At 49.7% G+C, this 25130-nt stretch overlaps 1 protein-coding gene across 1 annotated transcript in view, besides 6 other annotated features; it reads right to left on the bottom strand.

The window, feature by feature from the left end:
• Positions 1–25130, bottom strand: part of RAB11FIP4 (RAB11 family interacting protein 4) — a 146537-nt gene that overhangs the window by 81412 nt on the left and 39995 nt on the right. Inside the window, exons 2-3 of the mRNA NM_032932.6 lie at positions 24900–24987; positions 22678–22766 (exon numbers count right to left, since the gene is read on the bottom strand). Of these exons, the coding sequence (NP_116321.2) occupies positions 22678–22766; positions 24900–24987 (177 nt within the window). The remainder of the gene's footprint in view (positions 1–22677; positions 22767–24899; positions 24988–25130) is intronic.
• Positions 1594–2093: an enhancer, noted in NCBI's record as "H3K4me1 hESC enhancer chr17:29781725-29782224 (GRCh37/hg19 assembly coordinates)". NCBI's record gives its function as "activates a minimal SCP1, AML or CMV promoter by ChIP-STARR-seq in naive H9 embryonic stem cells {active_cell/tissue: H9 hESC(naive)}" and the evidence as "EXISTENCE:reporter gene assay evidence [ECO:0000049][PMID:30033119]".
• Positions 2094–2595: an enhancer, noted in NCBI's record as "H3K4me1 hESC enhancer chr17:29781223-29781724 (GRCh37/hg19 assembly coordinates)". NCBI's record gives its function as "activates a minimal SCP1, AML or CMV promoter by ChIP-STARR-seq in naive H9 embryonic stem cells {active_cell/tissue: H9 hESC(naive)}" and the evidence as "EXISTENCE:reporter gene assay evidence [ECO:0000049][PMID:30033119]".
• Positions 19156–19265: an enhancer, noted in NCBI's record as "active region_12011". NCBI's record gives its function as "activates an Ori minimal core promoter by ATAC-STARR-seq in GM12878 lymphoblastoid cells {active_cell/tissue: GM12878}" and the evidence as "EXISTENCE:reporter gene assay evidence [ECO:0000049][PMID:35858748]".
• Positions 20701–21201: an enhancer, noted in NCBI's record as "H3K27ac hESC enhancer chr17:29762617-29763117 (GRCh37/hg19 assembly coordinates)". NCBI's record gives its function as "activates a minimal SCP1, AML or CMV promoter by ChIP-STARR-seq in primed H9 embryonic stem cells {active_cell/tissue: H9 hESC(primed)}" and the evidence as "EXISTENCE:reporter gene assay evidence [ECO:0000049][PMID:30033119]".
• Positions 21202–21702: an enhancer, noted in NCBI's record as "H3K27ac hESC enhancer chr17:29762116-29762616 (GRCh37/hg19 assembly coordinates)". NCBI's record gives its function as "activates a minimal SCP1, AML or CMV promoter by ChIP-STARR-seq in primed H9 embryonic stem cells {active_cell/tissue: H9 hESC(primed)}" and the evidence as "EXISTENCE:reporter gene assay evidence [ECO:0000049][PMID:30033119]".
• Positions 22364–23093: an enhancer, noted in NCBI's record as "H3K27ac-H3K4me1 hESC enhancer chr17:29760725-29761454 (GRCh37/hg19 assembly coordinates)". NCBI's record gives its function as "activates a minimal SCP1, AML or CMV promoter by ChIP-STARR-seq in naive and primed H9 embryonic stem cells {active_cell/tissue: H9 hESC(naive and primed)}" and the evidence as "EXISTENCE:reporter gene assay evidence [ECO:0000049][PMID:30033119]".

Raw genomic sequence — 25130 nt, 5'->3', positions numbered from 1 at the left:
CTTTTTATCTCTTCCTGACAGCTATGAAATTATTTACAATAAAAGACACATTCATAGCTAGAGTAGTAAAAATAAAAATAAACCATAGAGAAAAAGGAGGTAAATGATTAAATGGAAAGGCAGATTTTATTGATTCACCAGTCTCATTAGCTCTAAGTTTTCTGACTTACCAAAACCAAAAAGGACAGCAAGGGGATAGTTATGCTGTAACTCTTGTTATCTGATGTAAAAAGGTATCATTTCATCAGGAAGGACTTCTTTTCTGGTACAAAATCCTAAAAAGAATGTACTAGGGGCCAGCAGGGTGGCCCACGCCTGTAATTCCAGCACTTTGGGAGGCTGAGGGGGGCGGATCGCTTGAGCTCAGGAGTTCGAGACAAGCCTGGGCAACATGGTGAAAGCCCGTCTCTACAAAAAATACAAACGTTAACTGAGAGTGGTGCCGCATGTGTGTAGTCCCAGCTACCTGGGAGGCTGAGGTGGGAGGATTGCTTGAGCCTAGAAGGCTGGGCCAAGATTGTGCCACTGCACTCCAGCCTGGGTGACAGTGAGACCCTGTCTCAAAAAAAGAATATATTGGATCAAAGAGTACACAGGATGACAAATCAGCTGTAAGGTTTCCTGTAGCAATTCTAATGAAATTGAAGCAATATTCAATGAGCCGTGAGAATAAAAACAAAATGTACAACAGTAAAGACGTATTTGCAAGGAGGTAAGAGCAAACAGCGCTTTCTGACACGGAACTTGGTATTAGGATAGATAATGGAAAATCTAAAGGAATAGGGTTAACATGACCTGAAGATGCTGAAGATGACTGACTTTCTCCGATATCACATGTCAGAGCTGAGCCTCTGCCTGTAAGCCCAGGATGGCACTCTCAGCGGAGGGTGAGTGCAGCTGCCTTGGGAGCGTCAGCCCTGAAGGTGGCAAAGCTGACATTCACTGCAGCAGGTAAGGGTCCTGACATGCCTCCTGCCTGGTACCCATCTCAGAGGCCCCTTCAGCCTAGATTAAAGTTTCCCTTGAGGAGAAGGGGTCTGACCAAGAATGTTGCAAGTCACAGCACAAGACAGAAACCCCAGGCTGGGCTCGATAAGGCAGTTGTTTTGAAATATTGGTTGTAAAGTCAACCAATTATCAACACATTATCAGAGCAGACCCACTCCCTGTGGTCAAAGGAGACCTAGTTTGAGTAGGTACAGTGAGGTACCCATGTGTACAAGGCAGAGGACTGGGGAAGGGACTGAGGCAGGAACTTGAAGGGGATCCAAATATGCCACCCTGCAATACGCCACTTTGGCATAAGGATTATTTTGAGCTGAAGGCAACTGAGAAACAGCAGACACAGGATGAGCTCTCTGCCCTCCCCTTAGGTGCCTGAAAGTAGGGCATAAATTTCCATTTGTAAATGTGCCCCCCTCTCCCGTCCCATGAAAAGGAGAATAAATCCAATGGGGAGGTTATGTATCTGTATAACACATCTAAACCACCACCCCCAATCTAACACACATTTCCTAGCTACCTTCCCAGAATATACTGCCCTTAGGAGCCCAAATCCCCCTCTTCCTTGTTTAGTTACTTGCCCACAACTTATCTTCCTTTGTCAAAATTGTATATAAACCCTGGGTCTGACCATCTCTTTGGCTTTTCATGCATGTAAAATTAAAAACAACAATAAAATTCGTATGCCTTTTTTCTATTAATCTGTCTTTGCTCAATTTTATTTGCAGACTGCAGACATAACATAAAAGGGTAGAGGAGAAGTTTTTCCTCCCCTACAGACTTGTTCAGACAGGAGACCAGAGACTGGAGACCAGTCCTCTTCCTGCCTGTTCCCACTGTGGTGCTAATCGTCAGTTCACCTGGCACCTCCACTGCCTCCCTAGAGCCCACAGACAGTTTCCATCTTTTTTTTTGAGAAGGAGTCTTGTTCTGTTGCCCAGGCTGGAGTGCAGTGGTACAATCTTGGCTCACTGAAACCTCTGCCTCCTGGGTTCAAGCGATTTTCCTGCCTCAGCCACCCGAGTAGCTGGGACTACAGGCAGGAACCACCGGGCCTGATTAATTTTTGTATTTTTAGTAGAGACGGGGTTTCACCATGTTGGCCAGGATGGTCTTGAAGTCCTGACCTCAAGCGATCCACCTGCCTCGGCCTCCCAAAGTGCTGGGATTACAGGCATGAGCCATGGCCGCCTGACTGAGTTTCCATCTTAAGAATCAGACTTAGGCAAGGCACAGTGGCTCATGCCTGTAATCCCAGTGCTTTGGGAGGCTAAGGTGGGCAGATTGCTTGAGGTCATGGGTTCGAGAACAACCTGGCCAACATGGTGAAACTCCATCTCTATTAAAAATACAAAAATTAGTTGGGCGTGGTGGCACATACCTGTAGTCCCAGCTACTCGGGAGGCTGAGGCAGGAGAATCGCTTGAACCCAGGAGGCGGAGGTTGCAGTGAGCTGAGATCGCACCACTGCACTCCAGCCTGGGTGACAGAACGAGACTCCATCTCAAAAAGAAAAGAATCAGACTTTATGCTCTGTCTTCTATGACAGCCATTTTCATTTTCCTGGTCAGGAAATGGAATGTAGCAATGATCTGGTTGAGAACAGCTGTTTAATCTCTCTAATACAATGTTGGAGCATTTGCCCTCTGGCTCGGCAGGTGTGGTTTTCATGTGATCAGGCCAGTCTCTGCCCTGGGAGAATGGTCTGACAAAGGGGTGGGCTCAATTCTTGAGAATGCCCAGGGGCTGACTTTTCTAGCTAGTGCTAGAGCAGCAGGTGGCTGTGGGTGGGGCTGGGGGGGATGCGGTTGTGGGAGGAGGACTGGGCCCCAGGCCTTGCTATCAGCACCTGGTCACCACCCCTGAGTCAAAAGATATTCAATGGACCATGATATGTCTCACAATCTATGCATTGTGAGTTGAGAAATGCCAGTATTTTCCACAGTGCGGAGAGCCTTCCATGCACTTTCTTTTCTTTTCTTTCTTTTTTTTTTTTTTTTTTTTTGAGACGAGTCTTGTGCCCAGGCTGGAGTGCAGTGGTGCGATCTCAGCTCAAGTGATTCTCCTGCCTCAGCCTCCCTAGTAGTTGGGACTACAGGCATGCACCACCACGCCCAGCTAATTTTTGTATTTTTAGCAGAGACAGCATTTCACCATGTTGGCCAGGCTGGTCTCGAACTCCTGACCTCATGTAATTCACCTGCCTTGACCTCCTACTTCCATGCACTTTCATGTTTCATTTTGACAACGACCCTGGGAGGAAGACACGAGTTACAACCTCCATCTAGCAAGTGAAGAAAGTGAGGCTCAGGGAGGCTAAGTTCCTTGTTCGGCGTGGCCCAAGTAGTATGTGACAGCATCAGGATTCAAACTCAGAACTCTTGGACTCCAAAGGTCCCAAACTCTCCCCAGGTTTGTTTTTTTTTTTTTTTTTTTTTTTTTGAGGTAGGGTCTCTCTCTATGGTACAGGCTGGAGTGCAGTCGTGTGATAATATAATAGCTCACTGCAGCCTCAACCTCCTAGGCTCAAGTGATCCTCCCACCTCAGCCTCCTGAGTAGCTGGGACTACAGGCACACGCCACCATGCCTGGCTACTTTTTAATTTTTTTGTAGATATGGGGTCTCTCTATGTTGCTTAGGCTGGTCTCCAACTCCTGGGCTCAAGCAATCCATCCACCTTGGCCTCCCAAAGTGTTGGAATTACAGGCGTGAGCCACCGTGCCCAGCCTCTCCCCAAGTTTAAATGAACATTTTGCCCCCAGGGCCAGTCAGGTAGGCCTATACCTGTACTCCTGAAACCAAAGCTTGGAAACCTCTCGGTAATGCCTCCCAGTTCCCCGCGGGGTCAGCTGCCCCATCCCACACTAGGGCAATGAACTGGGCCTGACTTCCAGCAGGGGCAACATCCCCCAGGAGTCTGCCTGAATAAGAGGTGCACAGAGAGGAAACAGCAATGCCAGAAGCAAGTGGCTGAGCACAGTTCCTGGCAGAGAATCCGTCTTGTCTGTCACAGTAACAGAAATGTGGAGACAGAAACCTAGCAGGCCTCACCACATGCGGAGGTGACAGTGACTGCTACAAATAACACTTGCTGCTGGATGGAGGGAGGAGGGGCAGAGGAGGCAATGAAGGGACCCCTCTGGCTCTTTCCGCGTGGTCCCATGGCATGTAGGGGGAAAGATGGCACAGGACCTGCAAGTTACAAAAGCGCTGCTAGAGAGATCTGAGGTCAGCAGCACCACCATTGCTGATGAGCAGGCTAGGAACGCAGACCCAGGCCTGTGAACCAGAATCTGCATTTTCTTAAGATCAGTGATTGACACGCACAGGAAAGCGAGAGAGCCCAGCTGCAGAGTCTCAGAGAATCCAGGCACCCCCTTTCTAATCCCCCAGAGCACTGAGGCAGGGCATGATTTTTACAGCCTTTGAGCTGGTCCTCGGAGACTCCTAGGTGGGAGCCCATCCCTCCCTGACAAAGAGTCAACATTCCACATCTGAGATTCATCCATCTGCTTGTGCAACAAATCTGCACCAACAGCCTCTCTATGCCAGGCACTGTGCAGCAGTGAATGACACTGGCAAAGCCCTGGACCCACGGAGCTTACAGGCCAGTGGGGGATGACAGGACACACATAGATGATCAAGACTGTGCCAAACAAGATACAGTTGGAGAGAAGAAATAAGTTCTAGTATTTGCTAGTACAGCAGGGAAATTATAGTTAATAATTTCTTGTATCTTTCAAAAAGCTAGAAGAATTGTAATGTTCCCAACACAAAGACAAAGGTTTGAGGTAATGGATATCCCAGTTACCCTGATTTGATCATTACACAACATATGCAGTTATCGAAATATCACATGTATCCCAAAAACATGTATCACTATTACACAGCCATTAAAAAAACATGCAGCTAACAGTGGTGCATACTCAAGGAAATAAGCAGGGTGCTCTGGCAGTGATGGGGGCAGGGTGGGGAGGGAGTTTCTTGAGAGGGTGGTGGGGGAAGGCTTCTCTGAGGAGGTGACATTTGTGCTGAAACCTGAAGGGCACAAGGGCAGCTGTGCAAAGATTTGGGGGACAAGGGTTCTAGGTGAAGGGGAAGCCAGGCAAAGGCCCTGTGCAGAACTCGCTTGGGCAGTTTGAGGAACAGAAAACAGGTCAGGGTGGCTGAACAGTGAGAGTCACCGGGAATCTGGGAGGGGCAAGGTCAAAGATTCAGGCAAAAGTGAAACCTTCGAGGCCACAGTGGGAAGTCAGGGTTTTGGATTTTGTCACTGGAGGCTCTTATGCAAGGGAGAGGAGGATGGGACTTACAATTTTTTTTTTTTTTTTTTTTTTTGAGATGGAGTCTCGCTCTGTTGCCCAGGCTGGAGTGTAGTGGCGCCATCTCGGCTCACTGCAACCTCCGCCTCCCGGGTTTAAGTGATTCTTCTGCCTCAGCCTCCTGAGTAGCTGGGATTACAGGCGCCTGCCACCATGGCCAGCTAATTTTTGTATTCTTAGTAGAGACGGGGTTTCACCATGTTGGCCAAGCTGGTCTCGAACTCCTGACCTCAGGTGATCCACCTGCCTCAGCCTCCAAAAGTGCTGGGATTATAGGTGTGAGCCACCATGCCCAGCCACTAGGAGTTACAAGTTTTAAAGAACACTCCGGTGTCATATGGACCACAAAAAACAAGAGAGAATGCAGGCCATCGGGGCACAGGTACAGGGTGCGGCTCTGCTGGGACTGGGGTGTAACCTCCAAGGTGGAGGGAAGTGGATGGCTCGGGACATAGTTTGGAGGTAAAACCATTAGGCTGTGATGATGGGTTGGATGTGGAAGGAGGAAAGAAATTAAGGATGACTTGATCCTTGGTCAGAGTGACCAGGTAGGGGAGGTGGTGCCATTTACTGAGATGGGGAGCCTGGGGAAACATTCTTGGGGCTGAGGGGACGGAGCTGGATCAGATCAAAGGGTGTAGCCTGGAACATGGTGGAAATGCAGAGGGTGCGCCACAGGTTTGACAGAAGAGACTGGAGCCGAAGGCAATGTCGGAGGGGAAAATACTATCTTGGGAGCCCTCAGGGTAATGGTGCTTTTAGAGTTCTGGGACCAACCAGCTCCCCTGGGGAGTGGGCAGGCAGGAAGCATAGGGGTGAGGACGAGGCCTGAGACCCAGCGCCATTTAAAGGGACCCAGGAGGAGGGCGGGCAAGGCTGAGGTGGACAGATCACTTGAGGCCAGGAGATCGAGACCAGCCTGGGCAACATGGTGAAACCCCATCTCTACCAAAAATATGCAAATTAGCCGGGTGTGATGGCGCCGTCCTATAATCCCAGCTACTTGGGAGGCTGAGGCAGGAGAATCGCTTGAACCCCGGAGGCGGAGGTTGCAGTGAGCTGAGATCACGCCACTGCACTCCAACCTGGGTGACAGAGGGAGACTCTGTCTCAATAATAATAATAATAATAATAATAATAATAATAATAATAAAGCCGGTGGCGGGGGGGTGGTGTGCGGGGAGAAAAGCAGCCTGAGAGGTAGGAGGAAGGCTTGAGCTAAAAGGACGATCTGAGAAGGGAGAGGTTGGCTGTGCCAGGCCCTGCCCAGGGTTCCAGTAAAATGTGAATGGAGCAGAGGACACTAGAGGCTGAGAATGGCAGGGGAAGGAGAGTAGGGAGACGTTTGTTAAAAGTACAGAGTTACAGTTCTAGAGGAGGGATAAGTTCCATTGTTCTACATCACTGTAAGATGACTATCATTAACAATAATACAGAGTTTTCAGTAGCTAGGAGACTATCGAGTGTTCCCAAAATGAAGAAATGATAAATGCCGGAGATGGTGGATATGCTAATTACCCTGATCTATTCACCACACACCATCACTATGTAAAAATGTGACTAGAGAACTGATGCTTGGATTTGGCCAGTGAGAAGTTCCTGGTGGCCAGGCAAGGTGGCTCATGCCTGCCATACCAGCACTTTGGGGGTCTGAGATTGGAGGATTGCTTGAGGCCAGGAGTTTGAGGCTGCAGCAAACTAGGACTGCACTACTGCACTCCAGCCTGGGGAACAGAACAAGACCCCCATCTCTACAAAAAATAAAAATAGCTGGGGATGATGGCAGATGCCTGTGGTCCCAGCTACCTGGGAGACTGAGGTGGGAGGATTGCTTGAACCCAGGTGTTGGAGGCTGCAGTGAGTCAGGACTGCACCACTGCACTCCAGCCTGGGTGACAGAGTGAGACCCCTGTCTCAAAAAGAAGTCCCTGGTGACTGTGAGAAGTGTTTCAGCAGAACAGAGGGGCCAAGACATCATTGGGAGTGGCAACAGAGAGAAAGGGAGGCAAGAAAGGGAGTTGAGACCAGTCTTTGGAGGAAATAGACCAAAGGAAAGAAAGCCAGGATGTGTGGTCAAGCGGGTGCTTCCCTGCCCATGGGAAGGGCATTATTATGTCAGCTCCAGAAGCGAATGGAAAGGACCCAGCAGGGGCGTGGTGCGGGTGCTGTGGGTGAGGGGCTGTTTGTGAAGGCGAGTGCTTGAGTTGGCAGGAGGGGCTGGGATCCAGTGTTCAGGCGGTGTGCGGGTGAGGAGCTGGGATTGGAGGGCATGGCCTGTGTCAGAGCAGGGTCATGCCACTCACCATCCCAGCAGCAAGCTGAAAGTGTGGGTGCAGGTGGAGGCAGGCTGGTGACTTTGGGAATGGGAAGGGGAGGGAATTCTGTCCCCTGTGTCCTGAATGATTCCCCTGAGGGTTCTGAGTGGTACAGAGAATGCAGGCATAGGTACTACTGACTGGGGGACCTGTCTCCTCAGGAACCTTTAGAAACATTAATCCATTGCATTCTCACCACAACACTGAAAATCAGGCTGACGACTCTGATTTTAGATAGGCAGAAATGAAAAAGGCTCAGAGAGGTGAAGCGACTTGCCAAATGACACACAGAAAGTGGTCAAGCAGAACCCACACTCAGCCCGTTTGACTCAAACCTGAGCTCTTTCCAGGATTCTGAGCAACCTGGGTGAGAATTTGCAGTGTCTGGAGGATCTGGTCAGAAGGATTCTTACAGGTTCAGGGCAGCCCCAGACAAAGAGGGCTGGAATCAGGCCTCCTTGAGGCCAGCCTTGAGAGGAGGCAAAATTACATCATTCCTGGAGCCTGCCCATGGAGCTCATTCCAGGCCTCAGCCACGCGGGGTCAAATTTCCTCATTTCTCCCTCCCAGTGAAGACCTGTTTTGTTACTAAAATGAACACTGCATTTACTTTATTACAAGAAAACAGGGCTAGGAGAGGTTGCTCATGACTGTAATCCCAGTGCCTTGGGAGGCCCAGCTGGGAGACTTGCTTGAGGCCAGGAGTTTGAGACCATCCTGGGCAACATAGCTAGACCCGGTCTCTGCCAAAAAAAAAAAAAAAAAAATTAGCTGGATGTGGTGGTATGAGCCTGTGGTCCCAGCTACTGAGGAGGCTGAGGTGGGAGGATTGCTTGAGCCTGGGAGGTTGAGGCTGCAGTGACTGCACTCCAGCCTGAGTAACAGAGCAAGACTTTGTTTCTTAAAAAAAAGAAAAGGAAAACAAAATAGCAATAACAGTAATACCTTACATAAAGCGGCCCCACAGCAGAAGATGGACATGGGTCTACAGTAGAAGTGGGACTCGAAAGAGCAGCCTCTAAAGCAAAACAATTTAAAAAGTCTTTCCCGCAGGGCGCGGTGGCTTACACCTGTAATCCTAGCATTTTGGGAGGCCGAGACAGGTGGATCGCTTCAGCCCGGGAGCTCAAGACCAACCAGGGTAACATAGTGAGACCCTGTCTCTCCAAAAATCCAAAAATTAGCTGGGTGCATGCCTGTAGTCCCAGCTACTCAAGAGGCTGAGGCAGGAGGATTGCTTGAGCCTGGGAGGTGGAGGTTGCAGTGAGCTGAGATCGCGCCACTGCACTCCAACCCGGGTGCTAGAGTGAGATCCTGTCTCAAAAATAAAATACAGCAGTTGGGCGCGGTGGCTTGTGCCTGTAATCCCAGCAATTTGGGAGGTGGAGGTGGGCAGATCACCTGAGGTCAGGAGTTCGAGACCAGCCTGGCCAACATGGTGAAACCCCGTCTCTATTAAAAATACAAAAATTTGCTGGGCATGGGGGTGCGCGTGTGTAATCCCAGCTACTTGGGAGGCTGACACAGGAGAATCGCTTGAACCCGGGAGGCGGAGGTTGCAGTGAGCCAAGATCGTACTATTGCACTCCAGCCTGGGCAATGAGTGAAACTCCATCTCAAAAAAATAAATAAATAAAATAAAGTAAAATAAAATTGATAAAAGTCTTTCTCATTATCTTTATTTTACTTTATTTTTTGAGATGAGATCTTGCTCTGTTGCCCAGGCTGGAGTGCTGTCGCACAAACGGCTCACTGTAGCCTCAATCTCCTGGGCTTAAGCAATCCTCCTGCCTCAGCCTCCCAAGTAGCTGGGACACACAGGTGCTTGCCACCAAGCCCAGCTAATTTTTGTCTTGTTTTGTTTTGTTTTGTTTGAGACGGAGTCTCACGCTCTGTGGCCCAGGTTGGAGTGCAGTGGCACAATCTCGGCTCATTGCAAGCTCCACCTCCCGGGTTCACGCCATTCTCCTGCCTCAGCCTCCCGAGTAGCTGGGACTACAGGCGCCCACCACCACGCCCGGCTAATTTTTTGTATTTTTAGTGGAGACGGGGTTTCACCGTGTTAGCCAGGATGGTCTCGATCTCCTGACCTCGTGATCCGCCCGCCTTGGCCTCCCAAAGTACTGGGATTACAGGCGAGAGCCACGGCACCCGCCTGTCTTTTTTGTATTAATAGATATGGGGGTCTCACTTTGCTGTCCAAGCTGGTCTTGAACTCCTAGCCTCAAGGGATCCTCCAGCCTGGGCCTCTCAAAGTGCTGGGATTACAGGCTTCTTTCTTATCTTCAAAATATGTTTATTATGTTCCATGTTTGTTTTAATGTTGGACAATGTTTTCTCCAATTCTTCCAGGCAATCTGCTGCTCCAGGAAGATGCCCCCTGGTGTCCCAGCAAGTGGCTGGTATCTCCCTCGGGCACAGGTACCCGGAGAAGCACCGTCCAGTGTATCTTAGGGGCTTGGATTTCTTCCCCACATTATCTCAGATAATCCCCCCAAAGACGTGGGGGGGGTCTTTTCTAGTTTTCTCTTGAGATTGCCCCTCTCAGGAGACAAATACACCTACTCCAATGTCCTAATCTCAGCCCAAAGAGGATGGAGATGTGGCCTGGTCATGTATAAGAGCCCACACCTCCTAACACTGTACCCAGTGTACAGTGTTCATCGCACAGACGTTACCCATCGCACAGACGTTCAATGGCCCATGGCGTGTTCCTGGAGCCAGAAAGTACCAAGGCCGGCTGCCTCCCCACAATTTGAGAGATGCCAAGGGTGGACGCTCGGCCGCACACACACAATTAGGCATTTATTTTTCCCCAAATGCCAGAAGGGACAGAAGCTGCAAGGGGTGTTTAGATCATGTTTCAGCTGGGAAAACTGAGGCCCACTGAGTGGGTGCCAACAATATGCATTTTAAATGTGTTTTAGACTTGAAAAATAAACACAGTAGAACTCCCCTCCTGGCCCCCTCCTCGCCACACCATTTTATTTTTAATTTAAATTTAAGTTGCAGTACCCCAAAGGACCAGAAAATCAATAAAGGCAAATCTAAATTGAGGGGCATTCTTCGAAGCAAGTGGCCTGAAGTTTTTAAAAAGGTCAATGTCATTAGGAGTAAAAAAAAAGAAAAAAATAGAAAGAAAGAAAAGAAAAAAAAAGCCAAGGAACTCTTCTAGATTAAAGGAAACTAAAGAAACATGGCAACTAAACTACTGTGTGATCCTGTATTAGATTTGAGATAAAAATAAAAGCTATAAAAATATTATTGGGATGGCTGGGTGCGGTGGCTCACACCTGTAATCCCAGCACTTTGGGAGGCCGAGGTGGGTGGATCACGAGGTCAGGAGTTCAAGACCAGCCTGGCCAACATGGTAAAACCCAGTCTCTACTAAAAATACAAAAAAAAAATTAGCCGGGAGTGGTGGCATGCACCTGTAATCCCAGCTACTCGGGAGGCTGAGGCAGGAGAATCGTTTGAACCCAGGAGGCGGAGGTTGCGGTGAGCGGAGATCACGCCATTGCACTCCAGCCTGGGTGACAGAGCAAGACTCCGTGTCAAAAAAAAAAAAAAAAAAAAAAAAATATATATATATATATATATATATATATATATATATATATATATATAAAATTGGGAAAATTTGAATGTAGATTTTACAATAGGTAACAAATTGTGCCAATGTTAAGTTTCCTGCAAGTCATAACTATATTGTGGTCACATAGGAGAGTGTCCTTCTTAGGAATGGCCAAGTATTTAAGGATGAAGTGTCATGTCCGCAACTAACTTTCAAATGGTCCAGAAAAAAAGTAGTATGTATGCACATGCACCCCACCAACAAACACAGGGGCAGAGAAACTCAGTTTAGCAGCATGTTAACAGCTGTCATCCAAGCAAAGGATATATGTGGATTCATTGTTCTGCTCTTTTCTGAAGGTTGAAAATTTTCAAAATAAAAAGTTGGAGACCAAGTCAACTCTCTAGGTCTTTGTTTAGTAAAAGTGATCTACTCTTTATTCTTGCACCATCTGCAGCAGGAGCTTGGGCCCTCAGAGGTTTATAAACTGGATGGTGAGTTTAGAATCTCCACTGATATCCCAGTTCAGCCTCTGACACATGAAGCACCATAGGCCCTGCTAACCCAGAGTCCCCACTGGTTTCGACCGTGCTTTCTCGGAGAACATCTGCCCTCATGTGATTGTGTTTGTGTGTTTCCCACAGTTACTGTTTCAAAAATGCACTGCACTAGACTCATTAATGAGGGAAGCAGCAGGTAGGGATAACTCATCCAAAGGAGAAGGGGAGGGATCAAAGTCTATGTAATCAGGGAAAGAAAGGATGCTGAAATGAGACTGGAAAGGTATATACGAAGGTGGTTAATGTCCTACAGGTTCATAAAACCCAAATTTTTCCCTCCTGCTCAGCTTTAAAAAGACGGGATGTAAGGAGCCTCTCCAAGGTTTTGTCAAGCTCTAACTTGGTGAGTAGGTTCTAAAGATACATGTGGACTTGGGCGTCAGGGTTGGGTTAGGCAGGAGGTGGCCCGTGGGAAGTAGCACTTGCTGGCCAGCTCAGCTTAGCGTCTCTAGGGTAGGGATGGTCAGGGGTAGGAGGTAGAAGACACACGGTCCAGGGCAGACCAGGCTGAGGCAACGAACAAAAGGGGCTTCCATATCTGCACTGCTTCCATCCCCGCCACCTTTGGCTTAATCAGAGTTGAGTTATTTCCCAAAGACACAAATCGAGGATCTTACAGAAGCTCTGAGGCTTGGGATAAGTAGATTTTTTTTTCTCTTTAGAAGGGTGGGGGGGGTGTTGAAACATAGAAAAATATATTGGGGCCAGATATAAGTAGAAAGGCTGCTTCCCTGGGCTCTGAAACTCCCTCCTGCCACCACACCAGTGGGAGCATGGCACCCCACCCACACCTCCACCAGCACAGTGAATCACAGTGCTGTTTGTCAGGAAAAGTATTTTTAGAACTTATAAGTGCCATTGTCATGAGTGGTTTTAGAAATGCTTGTTTCAGGATGGATGAAATGAAGCGAGGGTGGGCTTAGATGTTCAGGCTGTAGGCCTCCTCCCCAGCAAGTTCTAGAGAGAGGCACAGGTTATCATCATTTTAAAAACTTCCAGGAAGACAAGGGTTTGGCAAAGCCCCTTCTGAATATGAGCAAAAGAGCCAATTTGGGCTCAGGCTCAGGTCTGGGTTCCCAGCAAACCCCATTTCTTTTCTTCTTTTCTTTTTTAGATAGGGTCTTGCTCTGTTGCCCAGCCTGGAGTGCAGTGGCACAATCTCTGCTGGCTGCAACCTCTGCCTTCTGGGTTCAAGTGATTCTTGTGCCTCAGCCTCCCAAGTAGCTGGGATTACAGGCATGCCCCATCATGCCAGGCTAATTTTTTTCTTTTTTTTTCAGTAAAGATGGGGTTTCGCCATGTTGGCCAAGCTGGTCTTGAACTCCTGGCCTCAAGTGATCTGCCCACCTCGGCCTCTCAAAGTGCTGGGATTCCAGGCCTGAGCCACTGCACCGGGCAAACCTCACTTCCTTTGCCATCAGGGGACTGCGTGCGTAAGCATAGCCTAGCAAGAAGCTGCTGGTTCCAGCCAGGTGAGGGAGGGCAAGAGGAACTGACAGGAAAAAGGCAAACTGGATCCCTACCTCACTCTAGACATCAGTCAATTCTACGAATTAAAAATCAAATACACAAAAATAAAACAGAACAGTTTCACAATCTTGGGCGGGAAAGCATTTATAAGCATTACACCAAAGGCTGAAGCCATAAAGGAAAAGAATGATGAATTGGCTATAAAAATTTTTAAATTTGGTATCATGAACAAAGTTAAAAATAAATAACAAGCTGGAAAAAATTTAATGTATGTCAAAAAGTTATATTTCTGGTTCTTAAAAAATACTCAATAGAAGTAAACATAGCCAGGGTGGAGAATGTCGACAGGCAATTCATGAAGAACGCCCTCTTAGTGACCAAAAAATGTACTTTAAGAAGTTAAACTGTATTATAATTCAAAAGAGGGGTTCTAATTTTAGCCTCTCAAATTTAAAGGATCTGAAAACTCAGCAACACCAGTATCAAAAGGGTAGCAGGAATCTGACGCAATCCTGATGGGATTCCTGCAGAGGAATTTGGCAGATTAGTATTAGGCAGTTTTAATATTTTGCATCCTTTTCTTTTTTTTTTTTTTTGAGACAGAGTCTCACTCTGTTGCCCAGGCTGGAGTGCAATGGCACGATCTCAGCTCACTGCAACCTCCGCCTCTTGGGTTCAAGGGATTCTCCTGCCTCAGCCTCCCGAGAGGCTGGGATTACAGGCATGCGCTATCACGCCTGGCTAATTTTTGTATTTTTAGTAGAGACGGGGTTTCACCACGTTGGTCAGGCTGGTCTCAAACTCCTGACCTCAGGTGATCCACCTGCCTCCACTTCCCAAAGTGCTGGGATTACAGGCATGAGCCACCGCGCCCAGCCTTTGCATCCTTTTCATAAAACAGTTTCCACTTGCCTGAATTTACCGTCTGGGTTGGCAAATTTTTTCTGTAAAGGGCAGACAGTAAATATTCTAAGCTTTGCAGTCCATTTGGCCTCTGTGGCAGCTTTTCAGCTCTGCCACTGTAGTGTGAAAACAGCCACAGATAAGATGTGAACAAATGGGTGTGGCTGTGTTCCAGTAAAACTTTATTTACAATAACAAGCTCCTAGATTTGGCTCGTGGGGTCTGTAATTTGCCAACCTCTGATTTACTTTAAAGCAACGATTGCTGCTGTGGGGAAATACTTAGCTATAAGAATGATTATTACACTGCTTTTGTTCATTCCCCAAATTACGTTAAAAATATATATATACACCTGGCTGGGCATGGTGGCTCACGCCTGTAATCCCAGCACTTTGGGAGGCCGAGGCAGGTGGATCACGAGGTCAGGAGATCGAGACCATCCTGGCTAACAGAGTGAAACCCTGTCTCTACTAAAAATACAAAAAAATTAGCCAGGCGTGGTGGCGGGCACCTGTAGTCCCAGCTACTTGGGAGGCTGAGGCAGGAGAATGGCGTGAACCCAGGAGGCGGAGCTTGCGGTGAGCCGAGATTGCACCACTGCACTCCAGCCTGGGCGACAGAGTGAGACTCCGTCTCAAAAAAAAAAAAAGTGTATATACGCCCAACAATAAGAAACTGGTATATAAATTTGGTTGTCTTCATGTGATGAAATATCATGTTGCCATTTAAAATTTAAAATGGCAGCATGGCTACCTTGTTATATAGAATTAAGCATGATAGAAAATAGCATATAAATAAACTATTAAATATAAAGAGAGTTTAATGGGCCAGGCATGGTGGCTCACACCTCTAATCCTAGCACCTTGGGAAGCCAAAGCAGGCAGATCACCTGAGGTCAGGAGTTCGAGGCCAGCCTGGCCAACATAGTGAAACCCCGTCTCTACTAAAAATACAAAAATTAGCCAGGCATGGTCGTGGGCGCCTGTAATCTCAGCTACTCGAGAGGCTGAGGCAGGAGAATTGCTTGAACCCGGGAGGCAGAGATTGCAGTGAGCCGAGATCACACTGCTGCACTCCAGCCTGGGCAATAAGAGCAAGACCCTGTTTCAATAAATAAATAAATAAATAAATAAAATAAGGAGAGTTTAATAGGGTTATCATGACAAGATTAACACCAAAAATGAAAACCTATCCTATACATCAGTTGTAACCAGTTATAAAATATCATAGCAAAAAGATCCTACACATATCAGCACAAAAACTCCAAATATAGTCACCCTAAGAAGAAAGTGTGCATAACCTATTTAAGAAAATTATAAAACTTTCCGGCCAGATGCGGTGGCTCACACCTGTAATCCCAGCACTTTGGGAGGCCGAAGCAGGAGGATCACCTGAGGTCAGGAGTTTGAGACCAGCCTGGCCAACGTAGTAGAACCCCATCTCTACTGAAAATACAAAAAATTAGCCGGGCATGGTGGTGGGCACCTGTAGTCCCACCTACTAGGGAGGCTGAGGCAGGGGAATCGCTTGGACCTGGGAGGCAGAGGTTGCAGTGAGCAGAGATCCAGCCACTGCACTCCAGCCTGGGCAATAACAGCAAAACTCCATCTCAAAAAACCCAAAAAACCAAAAAAGAAAAACAACAGAAAACTTTCCTAGAGGGCATAAAAGGCCAGAATAAATGAAAAGATATATGCATTCCTGGATGACAGAATGCAATATTGTAAAGAAGCCAATTTCCTTCAATTAATGCACAAATTTAATTTCAAATATGATCTCCTACAGGATTTGCAATAGAGCTTGACAAAAAGGCTGTTCCAGAAAAGAAAATATGTAAGAATAACAAAAAAACAGTTTTTTTTATTTGTTTTTGTGTGTGTGTGTATGACAGAGTCTCACTTTGTCGCCAAGGCTTAAGCGCAATGGCGTGATCTCAGCTCACTGCAACCTCCGCCTCCCGGGTTCAAGTGATTCTCCTGCCTCAGCCTCCCAAGTAGCTGGGATTACAGACATGTGCCACCATGCCTGGTTAATTTTTGTATTTTTAGTAGAGATGGGGTTTCACCATGTTGGTCAGGCTGGTCTTGAACTCCTGACCTCGGGTGATCCACCTGCCTTGGCCTCCCAAAGTGCTGGGATTACAGGCATGAGCCACCGCACCTGGCCTTAAAGGTTAAAGAAACAAAGAAGGATGAGAGAGCCTTTCCCTATCAGATATCAAACTATAAACAAGAGTAACTGAAACTATGGTTTTGGCTTAAAAGTAGGTAGACAAACAGATCAATATAACAGACCAGAGTCCAGAAAGAGACCTACGTATATAAGGTAAGTTAGCATACAATAAAGATAAAATTTCAAATCAATTGAGAAAGAGGGACTATTCAACATTAGGAACTCAAAGTACTGGCCATATTGAGGAAGTAAGAGTGCCAGATCTCTACTCCCACCAAAAGCAAAAATAAGCTCCAGGTGGATAAAAGAGCTAAGCATAAATACTTCTTTTTCTCAAAAGTATCTGAAAACTATATATAGGAGAATATGTTTATAGCCTGGAGGTACAGAAGGCACAAAATGATACACAAAATGCAAATGGCATAAAAAGGTTGATAAATGATGACATCAGAATTAACATTCTGTGTAATAAAACACTCCTAAAACAAGATTAAAACACAAGCAAAATCCATAAAGATTGATAATCAGGATATATAGAGATTTCAACCTGTTGCTGTGGCTCACACCTGTAATCTCAGCACTTTGGGAGGCCGAGGTGGGCAGATCACCTGAGCACAGGAGTTCAAGACCAGCCTGAGCAACATGCAAAACCCTGTCTCTACCAAAAACAAAACAAACAAACAAACAAACAAAAAAACAAAAATTAGCTGGATGTGGTGGCGTGTGCCTGTGGTACCAGCTAATTGCGGGGCCGAGGCAGGTGGATCGCTTGAGCCCGGGAGGCAGAGGTTGCAGTGAGCTGAGATTGAGCCACTGCACTCCAGCCTGGGCAGTAGAGCGAGACTGCCTCAAAAAACAAACAAGCAAAAAACAGAATATACAGAGATTTCTTATAAATCAATAAGGAAAAGACAAACAACCATATCGAAAATGGGCAAAGAATATGAATAGCTAATTCGTAAAAGCAGAAATCCAGAGGGTATGGGAAGATAAGAAAAAGATGGTCCGCCTCCCTAGGAAGCTGGGCAGCACAGAGGACGGCAGCAATGGGCTTTCCTCCCCTCAGGCTGCTAGGCCGGAGACCAGCAGGTGGATGGATGGCTTCCGGGGTTGGCGAAGGCCATGGGGAAAGGGGCAATCTCATATAGTGCTTGGGTGATACAAATGGTACAGGCTTTGTGGAAGAAAATTTCATCCGTATCTGTTAAAAAACAAAATCTACATACCCTTTGACACAGCAATTCTGCTTCCAGATACCTAGTTCTAGAAATACTTAGAGACACACCCAAGGAGCATGGATAACGATGCTTGCTGTGGGTGCTGTCCTGGGGGTGAAAAGGAGGAGCTCAGCCTGAGCCCTGAAGCCACTGGGTGGACATGGGGCTGGCTGTCATGAAGGGTGAGGTTCAGGCAGTGGTAGAGGGTGAAGGGCCCCCAGGAAGCTCAGTGCAGGTCCTTCTCCTTTGGGCTGGGGCAGAAGGAGTCAGGGAGGCTTCCTGGAGGAGGCGGTACCTAAGTAAAAATTTTTTTTTTAAGAGAAGCAGTCTCACTATATTGTCCAGGCTGGTCTCAAACTCCTGGGCTCAAGTAATCCTCCCACCTCAGCCTCCCAAAGTGCTGGGATTACAGGCATGAGCCACCACTCCCGGCAAGTAAGTCTTAAAAAGGTGAGTAGACGTTAGCTCCTGACAAGGAAGCGGGAGGGAGGACATCCTAGGAGAAAGATAACACTCAGAGGCAAGAGAGAACATGGCTTTCTCAGGAAACGGGGAGCGGTTTGGTATCGCCAGTTTTAGGTGTGAGATGCACCATGGTGAGAGATGAGGCTAGAGTAGTGGGTAGGAGCTGATGTTGGTTTTCATCCCTTGGTAAGGACGGGTCCCAGGAGCGGGATGGGGGTGTGGAGAGAGGAAGGCTGAGGACAGGAGGACGCCCGGTCAGTGGGTGGCAGTGGCTGTGATGGAAGGGGGAGGCAGGGGTGAGTGGGGAACAGAGGACTCAAGGCAGCTGCATGAGGAGGCGCTGAGGATGACTCTCTGGGTTGGAGGCTACTGACACCATTTGCTGGCGTGGTGGCTACACAGGAGGGGCAGGTGGCTGGATGCCCTCTCCATTTCATCCACCATAGGGTGGATGAACAGGGCCCAGGGCCTTACAGCACTTGTAGGATTAGGGTTCACATTACTGCCTGCTGAGGGGTGACCACGGGCCCCTAGCAACTATCCCATTGCCTTTAGCACCCGAGTGTCGGGCTCTCCACGTGTCTCCATGCCCCCTCCCCACGGGGGCCCCTATAGCATATGGACTGGGGGCTGATGGGCAGCCTGAGCAGGACAGTCTCAGAGGGACTCCCAGGGCGATTCCAGGGACCCCATGCATGGACCCAGGGAACCTGGGGAGTCCTTCAGGACACACCTAACATTCCCTTTGACCAGAAGCAAATTTCCCTGGGTCAGGAAACTCTCTCAACAGCCTGCTCAACAGTTGGGGTTCCCAAGCCTCAAAGTTTCCCTCTGCCAGGGTCTCGCAGGGCTCTGGGGACGCAGGTGGAGCCACATCCAGTAAGGTCAGGAACTGGTGCATCCAGGCATCAACTGCCCGGGATAGACTTGCACTGGCCTGAGGTCTGGACAGCAACCCCAGGGGCCCCTGCTTGATGCCCAACGCTAGAGGCTTCTCGGGGCCTGGGAGGGGGTCAAGAAGGGCAGGGTGCTCTCAGGGGCCAGGTGGCAGCTGCTGGCCCACCAGCCAGCACTCAAGCATTCACTGCTTTAATTACGAGCCACATCCAGTGGTTAAGTCAGAGGTCTCCGTCCACACCCTGAGGGGAGGGGGCTGTGCCCGAAAAACAAGCTTCACCTCCCAACATACACGCATGGCACAGGGATGGAGCGCCTGCCATCCCATCTGTGTGTCATCCCCACACCTCCTCAAATCATGCCTCAGGTTTGCGTTCCCTGGGGGCATCTGGGAAGCCTACGTAGTGATCCAGGCACCCGCTTCTTCTCAGTCTCAGACTGACCCCTAGGGGACAGCTAAGACACAGCAGGGCGCAGAGAGCCGGGCCTGAGAAATTCGGACCTGCCCAGTCCAGCCCACTCTGACACCTCATCTGCAGAGCTGTGGTCTTGACCTTGCTATTACAGGAGCCTAAGCCAGGAAGAGGACTCATTCACAATCCAGAAGCCGTCTGCCCCGTCAGGCTGGTCTTCGGATTGTGCCCCCTTCCTCTCCCTGCCAACACGCAGAAGCCCATGGTAGGGAATGGAGTCCAGGTCAACCAAGCAGCCCCAGCGAGCATAATGAACAAGGCTGCCACTGTGTCCACAGCTACCGCCATCTCACTAGGCTCTGGCCAACCAAGCCGGGGCCAGACCTCCATGGAGGGCAGAAAGGAGTTCACCCACGAGAAGCTTAAAATCCAAAGCATTGGGAGGCCGAGGCGGGTGGATCATGAGGTCAGGAGATCGAGACCATCCTGGCTAACATGGTGAAACCCCATCTCTACTAAAAATACAAAAAAAAATTAGCTGGGCATGGTGGCGGGCACCTGTAGTCCCAGCTACTCAGGAGGCTGAGGCAGGAGAATGGCATGAACCCGGGAGGCGGAGCTTGCAGTGAACCGAGATTGCACCACTGCACTCCAGCCTGGGCGATAGAGCAAGATGCCGTCTCAAAAAACAAAAAAAACAAAAAAAACAAAAAACAAAAAAAAACAAAAAAAAAACAAAAAACAAAACCCAAAGCAACAAAAACCTATAGGATTGCAAAGTCCCATGAAGAAACAAGGAGAAGCACCAGGCTTGCTGAGATAGGCTGACGCGGTCTTTCTTTCTGCTTTCCCATAACCTCTAGACTTTGGAGGAAAGCAATATCGGTTTACAAAAAAGAGTACCTTGGTGGAGGCCCACTCTTCTGCACCCCCTGCTCATCTTTTCTCCATGTGCCACCTTTTCCAGAGGTGTGAATGGCAGAATGTGGGGGCCACAAAAGCAGCCAAAGACTACAGGGAACACGTCACCCCTACCCCAACTCCCACCCCCTCTCCCCAGGCCTCGGCTCCACTCTGCCCTCCAGTTCCTGGGGCAGGGCTTTACTTTAACATAATTTTGCAACACCAGTATCCGAGGGTAAACTGAAAAATGCAAATGGTAACTTCAGCACCATTTTCTTACAGCAGCAGGCGGCGAGGAATTAGCACGTATTAGGGGTCTGTCTTCCCACTGAACTTTCACAACAGACCCTCCAGATTGGCACAGCAAGCCTTGTTTTACAGTTGAGGACACTGACGCTCAGCGGGGTTGAGAAGAACGTGCTCAGGTTCCATGGCCTGTCCTGGGTGGCCCACGTGGGTATGGACCCAGTCCTGCACACCTCTGCACGCTGCCTCCTGCTCAGCAATCCAGGAAGGGCCCCCCCAGCAAAGTTCCTGGGGCACTCAGTATTTGTCCCACAGTGGAGGTCCTCTTTCCTAATCCTGGTTCCATTAGCTGGCCCCAAATACATATTCAACCCCTGCTTGCTGGACCCATCAAGACAGGCCTGGAGCCATCACTGCTGGCATGGGCATGGGCCTGGGGCCCAGCTATCTCCACGCATCCCTGAGGGCTCTTGCTTTGAGCACAGCAGCCTGAGGCCTAGCCACCTGACTCCCAGCCTGGGGGCCCTGGCCCACAGTTGGTGCCTGGCTTTGGTCTCTGCCACCATGGACTTGGCAGCCCTCAGCACTGTGTCCCTCTCTGTGGACTGTCCCTCCTCCAGTCCTGCCCAGGGAACCTAACCCTGACCCCACGACCCAGCTGGATTCCAAGAGGCCTACCATCAGCCAAAGTGGCCTCTGGGGTCCTGGATCTCCTTCAGCTATAAACATACTCATGTTTTGGGGTCCAGAGGAGGCACCCATCAGAACTGGGGAAAAGGTTTGGGGGTTGGGCTGGGTAAGAAATCAAAATCATCCTCTTCTAGTTCTGGGTGTTGCCACCAGGAGGGACCTCGCTGGTTGTCAGCTTGTGCACCTTCAACTGTTTCTCTGTAGGATGAAGCTGCACTGCTTGGAAAACTAGTTCAAAGTTTCATAAGAAACACACCATTAGGCAATGATAACAGAAAAACAGAGCCTTGGGGACTGTGGTCTTTGTCCCGCTTCCTGATACAGAGCTTCAGGATGGGGTTGGTCACCAGAAAGACCAAGCATACAATAAGGTGGGAACTTTCTCACCTTCCCACCTACCCCCAACCTCCAGGCAGAGGAGAGGGGCTGGAGACTGGGTTGTAAAAACTGTTTAATTTTTGGAGATGAGTCTGGCCCTGTCACCCAGGCTGGCTGGAGTGCAGTAGCACAATCACAGCTCACTGAAGTCTCAAACTACTGGGCTCAAGTGCTCCTCCCACCTCAGTCTCCCCAGTAGCTGAGATTACAGGTGTGCACCACCACATCCAGCTAATTTTAAGTTTTTATGTAGAGACGGGGTCTCATCATCTTGCCCAGGCTGCTCTCAAACTCCTGGGCTCAAGCTGTCCTCCTGCCTCAGCATCCCAAAGTGCTGGGATTACAAGCATCAGCCATCACGCCAGGCCTACAAATTCTTGAACAATGAGATGCAGAGAGCCCGGGTGCTGGTAGCACGGTGATGTGCTGGGAGGCAGCGCCCCTAAGCGAAGGTGCGGAAGCTCTGCATCCCTGCTCCCCATACCCTGTCTTGTACATCTCTTCCGTGTGGCTAATCCTGAGTTGTATCCTTTGTAATACACTGATCATCGTAAGTACAACCATTTCCTGAGTGTTTCCAGTGAATTACCCAGCCCGAGGGAGGTGGTCCTGGGAACCCTGTGTTTGCAGTTATCCAGGAAGAACTGCAGCTGGCGTGGGAGGTGGGGCAGTCTCATGGAGTTGACCTTGACTCATGGAGTCTGTGCTAATGCTGGGTAGTTAGTGGCAGGTGGAACTGATTGCTGGACACCAGTTAGTGTCAGAGAATTGGAGAATTCGTTGTTGTTTGAAAACAAACAAACAGGAAGCGTTCAGCTCAGAGAGCGATGGTGCAGAAGAAAAGGAAACAATTCTAGTCCTGCCTCCCCTCCACTTGCCACTTTCCCTGTCTGGAACTCAGTCTCTCCTCCGTGCCACAGATGGGAAATAAAGTTGCTGGGTGAGGACCCCCAGCTGTTACACATTCTGCTGGGGCTTCCCAAGGGGACTCAGGGCTCCTGTTCCAAAAACTATTTCTTGACTCTGATGCTCAAGAAGGGTCCTCAGAGGGAGGTTCTGGGTCCTCCCAGATACTGAAAATGGAGCAAAGGCAAGACCAAGAAGGAGGAGGCAGAGCCATGGAGGTCCTTGAGGCCCCCCAAGCCTTACCTGCTCCACGCAGTCTGGGATCTCTGGCGCGCACGGCAGCGTCCCCGCGCTCTCCACCGACAGCACATCCTTCAGCAGCTCCTCGCACCCTGCGCAGACAGGCAGACACACGGGACAGTGAGGGGTTGAGCCTCAGCCTGGGACGGCTGCTCTGCTTCTGACTAATGGGCATAGGGTGGGAAGGGCTGAGGTGGGGGCCCGAGGCTCCAGGAGGCCAGCTGAGCACTGGAAGGCAGGGATGGAGCCCAGGCGGTGGGGAACTCAGCTCAAGGCACTGTGGAGGGAGCTGCAAGAGGCCCTTGTCCTCTGGGACTAATTCCCACACACAGAGGGCAGGCTGGGGCAACAGGAAGGAAGGAGGCCTTCCTGGGGGAGGGGACCTAAGGCAGTGCTGCCCACCTGGCTTGCAGGGACTCCAAACGACTGTGCCAGCCTCTGGAGAAAGCAAACACACCCATTCCTCCGAGGCTGGGCGCCCCCCGTGTCCTGCAGACCCTGGGACGTCCAGGACAGGGCTGCCCGCAGGACAGCTGCAGTTCCTGCTGACTCTGTACACGGCTGGCCTCGCTCCTGAGATCCCAACCAAACGCCCCAAGGTTGTACTGAACTGGGAGGGGGACCTGACAAAATGCCTGGCACAGGCACATGGCAGGTGCAGCCTGCAGTGGCCCATTGTCAAATCCACGCAGAAAACCTTCCCTGGGCACCTTCTGTGTTCTGTGCCCCCTGCACCGTGTATTTGGTTCCCTTCATCCCTCACCCTGCATCGTTCCACCCTCCCAGGACTCATAGGCACCCCACAGAAAAGGGCTAAACTTGATCTGAGCCGCAGACAGGAAACCATGGCTTCCTTCACAGATAAGCAGACACCCTGGGACTCCAGAAGTGACTGCATTCTCTCTGCAGCTAGTGGGGAGGCCTTAGCAAGTCCACCTGGCTGGTGACCTATGCCACTGTCTCAGATTTTTTTCTTTCTTGAGACAGGTTCTTACTCTGTTACCCAGGCTGGAGTGCAGTGGCGTGACCTCAGCTCACTGCAGCCTCAACTTCCTGGGCTCAGGTGATCCTCCCACCTTAGCCTCCCAGGTAGCTGGGACCACAGGCACACACCAGAATGCCCGGCTAATTTTTTGTATTTTTTGTAGAGATGAGGTTTCGCCATGTTGGCCAGGCTGGTCTCAAACTCCTGGACTCAAGTGATCCACCTGAGATCAAGCAATCCGCCTGCCTCGGCCTCCCAAAAAGTGCTGAGACTATAGGTGTGAGCCACCGTGCCTGGCCCTCACTGTCTCAGATAAACAGCTTAGTAGTAAGTGAGTGGCCATATTCTGATTCCTGCAAGTTTCTCACAACTGGCCTTTGAATTTTTGGGACAAGACAGAGGGATTTATATTGTCCCCTTAAAACTGGAAGCAGGGGCAAGGAAGAAAGGCAGGAATTAGGAAGAATTAAGAGGAAGAGAGGGCAGGGCATGGAGGCTGATGCCTGTAATCCCAGAACTTTGGGAGACTGAGATGGGAGGGTCACTTGATCTCAGGAGTTCAAGACCAGGCTGGACAACGTGACAAAACTCCATCTCTACTTAAAATACAAAAATTAGCCAGGCATGGTGGTGTACCTCCTGTAGTCTCAGCTACTCAGGAGGCTGAGGCAGGAGGATTGCTTGAGCCGAGGAGGTTGAAGCTGCAGGGAGCCATGATAGTGGCACTGCACTCCAGTAGCCTGGGCGACAAAGCCAGACCCTGTCTCAAAAAAAAAAAAAAAAAGAGGAGGCGGGAGCAGGGAGGACACAAAAGCAGCAGCTCAGAGGGAGGCGGGCAGTCATGTGACCAGCGCTTTGTCCAGGTTTGCCCAGGACTGCCCTGGTCTTAAAAGTGGAGTCCCTCCCACATCCCAGGAGACTCACTGGGTTTGGTCACCCCAGAGCGGGAGAGAGAGGAAGAGGACAGAAAAGCAGGGAAGGAGGCTTTCTCCAGAGGCGGGCAGACAAGGGGAAGGGCAGAAGTGACTTCCATGGGTGAGACCACAGCCCCCCACGGCTGGGGCAACAGTGTCCTTCTCCTCTGGCCCCCCCGGAAGCCAGAGGCAGAACCGACTTCTGGCCCATCCTGGGCTCTGGGACCCCTGTGGGGAGGAATCCAGGCTGGGCCCCCAGTCACACCAGCTTCCCCAGCTGGGCAGGACCGGAGAGCGCCTGGGAAAGCCTCCCGGGAAGACCTCACCTTTCATGGCGAACACCCCCCGGCAAAAGTCCTTGAAGTTGATTCTCCCCAGGTCGTTGGGATCCAAATATTTCACAAGTTTTTCCACCTGTGGGAATGAAGCAGGGACAGGTGTGAGACACCCAAGGATCTCCCGAAGACTCAGGGAGCTGGGTGGGGAGGCTGGGAGGGAGGGAGGGACACCAGTGTCCCCGCCCAGTCCTCTTACCCTCACCCTGGGGTCAGTATCAG

Source organism: Homo sapiens, chromosome 17 (assembly GCF_000001405.40).
Source record: "Homo sapiens chromosome 17, GRCh38.p14 Primary Assembly".
NCBI classification, from domain to species: domain Eukaryota; kingdom Metazoa; phylum Chordata; class Mammalia; order Primates; family Hominidae; genus Homo; species Homo sapiens.
Note: the sequence above shows the minus strand (reverse complement) of the source record. Positions and strands in the feature narration are given on the sequence as shown.